The 10,399-nt window shown below is 44.2% G+C and overlaps 1 annotated feature.

The window, feature by feature from the left end:
- Positions 8,882-9,217: a silencer, noted in NCBI's record as "fragment chr1:12736484-12736819 (GRCh37/hg19 assembly coordinates)". NCBI's record gives its function as "represses an EF-1alpha promoter that drives an FKBP-Casp9 reporter gene in an ReSE screen in K562 erythroleukemia cells {active_cell/tissue: K562}" and the evidence as "EXISTENCE:reporter gene assay evidence [ECO:0000049][PMID:32094911]".

Below are 10,399 nucleotides of genomic sequence, written 5' to 3' on the forward strand. Positions count from 1 at the left end.
GCAACCTCTGCTTCCCAGGTTCAAGCGATTCTCCTGCCTCAGCCTCCTGAGTAGCTGGGATTACAGGTGTATACCACCAAGCCTGGCTAATTTTTATATTTTTTAGTAGAGATGGGGTTTCACCATGTTGACCAGGCTGGTCTTGAACTCCTGACCTCGTGATCCACCCACCTTGGACTCCCAAAGTGTTGGGATTACAGGCCTGAGCCACCATGCCAGACTATTCTCACTTTTATAAAGAACCAAGCCATAGCTTAGCCATGCCAATTTCTCTGCTCACAGAGAAAAGGAAGGGAATATTTGTATTGCATGTTAGAGGTGACCCACACTAGTGTTTGCTTGGGCCCATGTTTGCTAGATATACCTGTAATACCCCTGGGCCTCAGTGCTGTCAGTCTCACCAAAGTCCCACCCAAATGCTGAAGCTGGAGGCTTTCCCAACCATAGCCTCAGTGGGTACCAACGACCTCACCTATGACTGATGGAGGAGGGGGTCCTACAGAAGTCTTGGTTCTTTGCAATAAGAGCAGGCATCCACACAGTCAATTTGGGTTGGGCCCCTGGGGGCATGAGCAGACATTGTGACTAATGGATTATACGTAAGCAGCTTTGATGGAAGGGTGTGTTAAGTATCTATTGGTGTGTAACGTTATTACCACAAACATGGTGGCTTAAAACAATACACATTTATTAGCTCACAGTTTCTGTGGGTCAGGAGCCTGAGTACAGTTTAGCTGGGTTGTTGGCTTAGTCAGGGGCTGTGTTGGTAGCCTCTTGCGGGCTACAATCAAGGTGTTGGGGCTGTGGTCTCATCTGAGACTCAATTGGGGAAGGATCTACTCTCAAGCTTCGTCAGGTTGTTGGCAGAATTCAATTCCTTGTGATTATAGACTGAGGACTTCAGTTTCTTGCAAGCTGTGGTCAGAGATCAATCTCAGCTTCTAGAGGTCACCCACAGTGTCTTGACACATGAAATTCTCCAAATGACTGCAAGGGAGAGACAGACTCCAGCAAGGTAGCTACTAGAACTAATGCAAGGTAATCACAAGCACATATCACATACATGCCATCACCTTTGCCATATGCTGTTGGTTAGAAGCAATTCATAAGCCTTGTCCACCCAAAGGGATTTCATATGGGTATGACCACTGGGGAGTGGGGACCATGAGGCCACCTTAGAGCATGTCTTCCACAGAAGGCCTTACCAGAAGGTGCTGGGAAGAACAGTCAACCCAACTTCTCAGCCTGAGAAACTCAGGTTAGTCTGTAACCATTGGCCTGACTTGGAGCTAGTGACCAATGGTTCCCCCAGTAGAGTCCTCTAATCTTTCCCCAACTCTCCCTTCCCCTACTCCCATTACTCCCATCTGGCCTTCCCTGGGTGGAGTAATTTGCACCTTCTTCTAAGCTATTCCTAGCATATTTTTATGACATAAACTGTATGTCCTTGTATTAGGTAGGGTCCAATCAGGAGAAAGAAACCATATCAGCAGTCTTCTTCTTTTCTCTCAAAAGTCTTTATCAGCCTCTAAGTACAATCACATTTTCATAAGACATTTTCTACCTCTGAGAACCTAGCTAAAACTTATATCCAGGAACACTTATAAGAAATTGTGAACACAGAAGTCACTAGACACTAGTTCTGAATTGACACCAATCTTGAGGACAGTGTTTCTGTGGCTTTCCCAGTCAAAGTGGGGGCTTTCTGTAGTCAGGTGACAAATGAAGTCTTGCCTCAAGTCCAACTCACACTGGGCCCAATTTCTCCACAGACACATGTGTTCATTATATCTCTAGTGGCTCAATATATGATTGAAATAGACATATGTGGAAACTGGCAGAATCCTGCATTGGCTCTATAATCAAAGAGATGTGGGTCATTATGGCAGGAAGCACTATGTGGAAGGCCCTGGACCTTTCCCTGCCTACCAAGATAATAAGTCAGAAGCAGTGCTGCACCACACAGGGAACTACAGAGATTCATACCACCCTAGGAGACTTCAAAGAAGCACCTATCACACCCTGATCTAATTCAGCAGTTTGAAATTTGCAGAAGTCTGATCTATCTTGGAGAATGCATATGAGTGATTCTAAAATTACTCATGCAATGATTTCGACTGCAGCTGTTCTTCGAGCTGTAGCATCATACTGGAACAAGTAAACACAGCTCCTGGCACTTGGTAAGCAGCTGACCTGGCAGATGCCTTTTGTTCCATACCAACTTGTAAGGAATACCAGCAGCCACCTGCCTTTATCTGGAAGTGGTAACAGTATACTTTTACCGTCCTGCCTCAGGGAAATGCCAATATTGCTTTCTGCTCTAATATAGTCCTCAGAGATTGTAATTGCTTTGACAGTCCAGAAAGCATCATGATAATCCATTATGTTGATGGCATTATACTTATTGGATCTGTTAGGCAGGAAGCAGCATGTAGTTTAGAATACCTTAGGAAGACATATGCAAAGTGAAAGAAACTCCAAAACAATTAAGGGACAGCTACATCAGTGAAGTTTCTGGTGGTTTGGTGATGTGGAGAATGTTGAAATATTTGCTCCAAGGTGAAAGACAAGTTGCTGCATTTGTGCCATCTGCAATGAAAAATGCACAATGCTTATTAGGGCTTTTGGATTTTGAAGGCAACATATAGCACATTTGTGCCAGCTATTTCCATCCAACTAGAAAATTCCCCATAGCCTGCCTGCCTGCCTGCCTGTTTCAAGTGGGAAACAGAGCAAGAGAAGGCTCTGTAGCAAGCTCAGGCTGTTATAGAAGCTGCTCTGCCCACTTGGGAACCCTAACATTGACTGGATTGCTGGCATACTATTAATGCCAGCCAGCCATTAGAGACACTGTCAACCTGTGCCCTCCAGTGAATATAGCTTCCACTTGGTGAATCCCCAAATTGTAAACAGTGCTTTCTCTTTCTTTTTTTTTTTTCTCTCTTTTTTAGAAAGGGTCTGGCTTTGTTGCCCAAAGTCAGAGTGCAGTAGAGAGGGAATGCAGTGGTGTGATCTTGGCTCACTGCAACCTCAGCCTCCTGAACTCAAACCATCCTCCCACCTCAACCTTCCCAGTAGCTGGGACCACAGGCATGCTCCACCATGCCAGGCTAATTTTTTGGCATTTTTGGTGGTGATGGAGTTTCGCCATGTTGCCAAGGCTGGTCTGAAACTCCTGAGCTCAAGTGATTCTCCCTCCTCAGTCTCCCAAAATGCCAGGATTATAGATGTGAGCCACAGCACCTGGCAAACAGTGCTTTCTTTCAAGAAGTACCATGTATGCCCCTGGGGCTGAAGTTCTTATGTGGAAGCCACGTATTATCTTGTCCTCTTTCCCTCAAATATAGTAACTTGTATTTTTCCTAGGAGGAGAAAGCCTTGTATGTGTTTTTTTGCATATTTAAGGAAACACTGCTATGGCCCTGAGATGCACCCAGGCCAGCCTCACCTTGCCACCCAGGGTTACTGTGAACGATAGCATTACCTTAGATTTCCTTGTTATGGGCCAAGGTGGAGTCTGTGTAATTGCTATTACATCTTGCTGTGGCTAAATCAATGCTGCCGGCCAAGCAGAAAAATCAGTACAAACACTTATAAAGCAAGCCACCTAGCTTTCTAAGGTAAGCCCAGATGGTTGATCAGATTTGTTCAACTGGTCAGTTCTCCCATAGATTAGCCTGATCCTGCTGTTTGGAGTCCTGTAGATAGTAGCCTTTATTAAATACTTTACAGGATAAATTGGAGATTCCCTCCATCCCCAGCCTTTGTCAGTCAGATTAATCAGAGTGGCTAAAGGCGTGGGATACTCATGGAAAAATCTCCCAGAAGCCAAGATCAAGTAATGAGTGGTGAAGATTGCAGGGAGACCATTCTCCCTGGGTTTCTCACATTTCTGTGCCTGTTGTGAACAGAAGCACTGATGGCCTTTGATCCAGATTGTCTTTTTGAGGATGTTTGTAGAGTAATCAATCTTGGAAGATATAGTGTTTTCTCTTGCACCAGGGGGCAAGTTTATTTACTGTCTAGTATCATAAAGATACTAGATCTTTTGGATATTACATATTTGTCAGGTGGGTAGGTTGCAAAAGTTTTCTCCCATTCTGTAGGTTGCTTGTTCACTCTGATGCTAGTTTCTTTTGCTGTGCAGAAGCTCTTTAGTTTAATTAGATCCCATTTGTTCATTTTGGCTTTGCTGCAGTTGTTTTTGGTGTTTTCATCATGAAGGTTTTGCTTATGCCTATGTCCCGAATGGTATTGCCTAGGCTTTCTTCCAGGGTTTTTATGGTTTTGGGTTTTACATTTAAGTCTTTAATCCATCTTGAGTTAATTTTTGTATAAGGTGTAAGGAAGGGGTCCAGTTTCAGTTTTCTGCATATGGCTAGCCAGCTTTCCCAGCACCATTTATTAAATAGGGAATCCTTTCCCCTGTTGCTTGTTTTTGTCAGGTTTGTCAAAGATCAGATGGATGTAGATGTGTGGTGTTATTTCTGAGGTCTGTGTTCTCTTCCACTGGTTTATGTGTCTGTTTTGGTATCAGTACCATGTTGTTTTGGTTACCGTAGCCTTGTGGTATAGTTTGAAGTCAGGTAGCATGATACTTCCAACTTTGTTATTTTTGCTTAGGATTGCCTTGACTATATGGGCTCTTTTTTGGTTCCATAGGAAATTTAAGTAGTTTTTTCTAATCCTGTGAAGAATGTCAATAGTAGTTTGATGGGAATAGCATTGAATCTATAAATTACTTTGGGCAGTATGGCCATTTTCATGACTTTGATTCTTCCTATCCATGAGGATGGGCAAAGGATATGAACAGACACTTCTCAAAAGAAGACATTTATGCAGCCAATGAACATATGAAAAAAACTCAACATCACTGATAATTAGAGAAATGCAAGTGAAAATCACAACGAGATACCATCTTATGCCAGACAGAATGGAAATTATTAAAAAGTCAAGAAACAATTGATGCTGGTGAGGCTGTGGAGAAATAGGAACACTTTTACATTGTTGGTGGGAATGTAAATTAGTTCAACCATTGTGGAAGACAATGTGGGGATTCCTCAAGAATCTAGAACCAGAAATACCATTTGACCCAGCAATCTCATTATTGAGTATATACCCAAAGGAATATAAATCATTCTACTATAAAGGCACATGCACACTTAATGCACACTTATGTTTATTGTGGCACTAATCACAATAGCAAAGACACAGAACCAATCCAAATGCCTATCAGTGAGAGACTGGACAAAGAAAATGTGGTACATATCACCATGGAATACTTTGCAGCCATAAAAAAGAATGAGTTCATGTCCTTTGTAGGGACATGGATGAAGCTGGAAGCCATCATTCTCAGCAAACTAACAGAGGACAGGAAAGCAAACACCGTATGTTTTTACTCGTAAGTGGGAGTTGAACAATGAGAACACATGAACACAGGGAGGGGAACAACACACATCAGCGCCTGTCAGGGGGTGGGGGGCAAGGGGAGGGAGAGCATTAGGAAAAACACCAAATGCACGTGGGGCTTAAAACTTAGATGACGGGTTGCTAGGTGCAGCAAACCACCATGGCACCTGTATACCTAACTAACAAACCTGCACATTCTGCACATGTATCCCAGAATTTAAAGTTACAAAAAAAAAAAAGATAATAGGGAAAAGGTTAGGCAGGTTTTCTTGCTTATAGAAGATTTGGAGTCCCTGAAGGTCAGAGTTCCTCACCTGTGATGCACCCCTACCATGCACACCATCCACCTGGGCTTCTCTGTGTCATTCCCATGGGATCTGGGAGGCAAGGAGAACCAACGCTAATGTGAAGTTCATTCTGTTTGCCATGCTATACATAATAATAATCTTTGAATCTGAGCCTGACATCTCATGTTTTCTGGCAGTATCCATGAAACTGTGGATAGTTTATTGTTTGCAAGTAGACTTATTAGTCTTATTATTTTGCAAGTAGGATAAAATATTAGTTTGCAAGTAGGATAAAAATCTGAGACCTATTCCCCAGTTCTTGACATACCCTTGACATAGTTCTATTTTGTCACCTGAAACAATGTTTGCTTGTTTGTTTTTTTTTGAGACAGAGTCTCACCCTGTTGCCCAGGCTGGAGTGCAGTGGCCCGATCTTGGCTCACTGCAAGCTCCACCTCCTGGGTTCATGCCATTCTCCTGCCTCAGCCTCCCCAGTAGCTGGAACTACAGACGCCCGCCACCATGCCTGGCTAATTTTTTTTTTTGTATTTTTAGTAGAGACGAGGTTTCACCGTGTTAGCCAGGATGGTCTCGATCTCCTGACCTTGTGATCCACCTGCCTTGGCCTCCCAAAGTGCTGGGATTACAGGCCTGAGCCACCGCCCCTGGCCAACAATGTTAAGGTTTGTCAGTAGAAGGTGCTGGAGAAATATTGGAAAAGGGCGGGCTTCTCGTCTTAGTTCTGGTGTACTCTTCTTGCCAGATGTCTGCAGTTTGTGTTTTCTCTACCACGGTTTCCTGCAGCATTCAGTTTTGCCAACATGTGGGGCCCACTGAGAAAGGCTTCTCTGATGTCTAGCTCCTACAGTACCCAGCGGCCATCACACTCAGTGACCAGCAGCCTCCTTTGGTAACATTCAGATGGTTTTGCAGCAGAGTGTCACCAACTAGACACTCTCCCATGAATGGCTTTTTGGCACCTTTTCTAGTTACCTATGACCATGTCCTCTAAAATAAGGTCAGATCTTGACCTAGGAGCAGTGGCTGTTCTTTATATCTGTGACTCCCTGTTTCTGTCTCCTGGGTTGAACCTAACACAGAATCTAAAGTACTTGCTACTTTCTGCTCATATGATCCAGTCAGCACAATGTCACTGATGTATCAGATCAGTGTGATGTTTACAGGAATATCATGATCCTCATCTCTGAAGAGTATATTATGGCAGAAAACAGAATTGACATAGCCCTGAGGTGAGAATGTAAAGGTATACTGTTAGCCCTGCTAGATAAAGGCAGGTGGCTTGTGGTATTCCTTACAAAATTGGTATGGAACAAAAGGCATCTGCCAGGTCAGTAGCTGCTTACCAAGTGCCAGGAGCTGTGTTTACTTGCTCCCATATGATGCTACAGCTGGAAAAACAGCTGCAATTGAATTATAAAATTACTGCATGAGCAGTTTTAGAATCACCCACAAACATTCTCCAAGATCAATCTGATTTTTGCACATTTCTCATTGGTGAATTAAATCAGGGTGCAATAGGTGCTTCTTTGAAGTCTTCTAGAGTGGTATGAATCTCTGCAGTTCCTGGGGGTAGGAAGGGGCAGCACTGCTTCTGGCTTATTGTCTTGGTAGGGAAGGGAAGTCCAGGGCCTTCCACATAGTGCTTCCTACCACAGTGACACTCATCCCTTTGGTCAGAGCGCCAATGTAGGATTCTGCTAGTTTTCACATATGTCTATTTCAATGATACATTGAGGCACTAGAGATATAACAAACACACGTGTCTTTGGACCAATTGGGCCCAGTGTGAGTTGGACTTGAGGCAAGATTTCATCTGTCACCTGATTACAGTGAGCCCCGACTTTGAGAGAACCACCAGCACTACAGGTCCCTAGGACAAGTCTTAATTTAGAATCTATGTGTACCGATTCCTGAACAATTTGAATGTTTCCTTTTCTCCTGTGCACAGTCACTCTGGTAAATGACTGCAGATCCCTTTGGGGAGGGCTTGGGGAAGATTTAGAGTGTATACTTGAGGCAAAGCTGGAGGGTCCTTCCTCAGGGAGACCCAGGCTCTACTTTTATCAAGGGTTTCTGTATCTGTGGAGTGACTTAGGTTTGGAAACTGGATGAGAGGTCATGGCTCTACTGTGGTGACTTAAGTGGTTTATAGGCACTAGACCTGGAGCTTTTTTTAAATTAAAAAAATCACTCTAATAAACTGATGATATATTTCATTCCTGAGACACCATGATCACTTAGCCACTGCCTAGATTTCTGTGGGCTGAGCATTCTGATTACTGGGACATCCCTCTTGCTTTTTTTTTTTTTTTTTGAGACAGGGCCTTACTCTGTCACACAGGCTGGAGGGCAGTAGCATAAACATGACTCGCTATAGCCTCACGCTCTTGAGCTCAAGCGATCCCCCTGCCATGGCCTCCCAAATAGCTGGAACCATAAGCATGTGCCACCATGGCCAGCTAATTATAAATTTTTTTTTTGTAGAGAGAGGGTCCCACTATATTGTCCAGGCTGGTTGCAAACTCCTGGGCTCAAGCAATCCTCCCACCTCAGCCTTCCAAAGTGCTGGGATTACAGGCATGAGCCAGCATAATCTGTGAGCCAGGATTACAGGAGAGATGCCCCGCGTCTCTCCTGCTTTTTATGGTAAATGCACTCACCTTGCTTTTGGTGATGAAGTGTTGCCGCTAGTCCTCTACTGCTCTGTGATATTGTATTACTCAGGGTTCTCTAGAGAGACAGAACTAATAGGATAGATATACATCTAAAGGGGAATTGTATTAAGTATTAACTCACATGATCACAAGGTCCCACAACAGGACGTCTGCAAGCTGAGGAGCAAGGAGAGCCAGTCCGAATTCCAAAACTGAAGAAATTGAAGTCCAATGTTCGAGGACGGAAAGGGTCCAGCATGGGAGAAAGATGTAGGGTGGGAGGCTAGGCCCATCTCATCTTTTCCTGTTTTCTGCCTCTTTATATTCTAGCTGCACTGGCAGCTGGTTAGACAGTGCCCACCCAGATCAAGGGTGGGTCTGCCTTTCCCAGCTCACTGACTCAAATGTTAATCTCCTTTGGCAACACCCTCACAGACACACCCAGGATTAATACTTTGCATCCCTCAATCCAATCAACTTGACACTCAGTATTAACCATCACAGATACCATTATCTTGAATAAAGTTAGAAAGACCATCTCAATGTGGCCTCCTCCACAGTCATACCTGCTTACTAAGGAGAATAATCAGAGACATTTTTTTTTTTTGGTTGTTGTTGTTGCTTTGAGACGGAGTTTTGCTCTTGTTGCCCAGGCTGGAGTGCAGCGGCGTGATCTCGGCTCACTGCAACCTCCGCCTCCTGAGTTCAAGTGATTTTCCTGCCTCAGCCTCCTGAGTAGCTGGGATTACAGGTGCCCGCTACCACACCCGGCTACTTTTTTGCATTTTTAGTAGAGACAGGGTTGCATCATGTTAGCCAGGCTGGTCTTGAACCCCTTACCTCAGGTGATCCACCTGCCTCGACCTCCCAAAGTGCAGGGATTACAGGCATGAGCCACTGCCCCTGGCCTCAGACATTTTTAAGGGTATAGATGTCCTCCACAAAAATGAATTTCTTGGTGTGTTAGTAAGGGAACTGTCTTCTGTGCCTTCTTGGCATTTGTAGTTGGGGGGTGATCGTGCAGGTTGCAAAAGAGAAATCCAGTCCAACAGTCCCATCTCCATAAGACTTTGGATTTCCTTCTACAAATAGTGCTGGGGAAACCCTGGCATCTCAACTTCATTAAATGTAAGCCATACCACTGTGCCCAAGGTTAAGTTTACAACCACATTTTGGCCAGGTGCAGTGGCTCATACCTGTAATCCCAGCACCCTGGGAGGCCAAGGAAGATGGCTTGAGTCCAGGAGTTTAAGACTAGCCTGGGCAACATGGTGAAATTCCGTCGCTACAAAAAATACAAAAAATTAGTTGGGCATGGTGGCACATGCCTGTGGTCTCAGCTACTTGGGAAGCTGAGGTGGGAGAATCACCCGAGCCTGGAAAGTCAAGCCTGCAGTGAGCTATGATCATGCCATTGCACTCCAGCCTGGGTGACAGAGTGAGACCCTGTCTCAAACAAATAAATAAATAAACATTAAAAATTACCAACACATTTTTAGGTTTTTGTACTTCCCTACTTCGGGTATTAAAAATATGTGTTGGTTGTCTACTACTACTACATAGCAAATTACCCCAAATCTTTGCAACTAAAAACAGCAAGTATTCACTATTTCCCAGTTTTCGTGGGGCAGTAGTCTGAACACAGCCTTGCTGGGAGTCTCTGGCTCAGGATCTCTCATGGGATGTAATCAAGTGTCAGCCAGGGCTGCCATCATCTCAATGCTCAGCTGGGGAAAGATTAGCTTCCTTGGCCACTCATGTGGCTGTTGGCAAACCTCAGGGCTTCACTGGCTGTTGGCTAAAGACATCATTGTGAAGCAGAACACTGTGTACCAGTTACCAGTTCCAGGGGAGAGGTCCAAACACTTCTGCCCATTGCATCTTGGTACTGGAATGGCCAAAGGAAACACAACCTAGTTAAACACTGAATGGAGCAAGCTTGACTTACATAGAGAAGAGGCAGAGGATGATCAGCTTCAAATGTGGTACATATACACCATGGAATGCTACAAAGCCATAACAAAGAAT

This window comes from Homo sapiens, chromosome 1 (genome assembly GCF_000001405.40).
Source record: "Homo sapiens chromosome 1, GRCh38.p14 Primary Assembly".
In the NCBI taxonomy this organism is placed as follows: domain Eukaryota; kingdom Metazoa; phylum Chordata; class Mammalia; order Primates; family Hominidae; genus Homo; species Homo sapiens.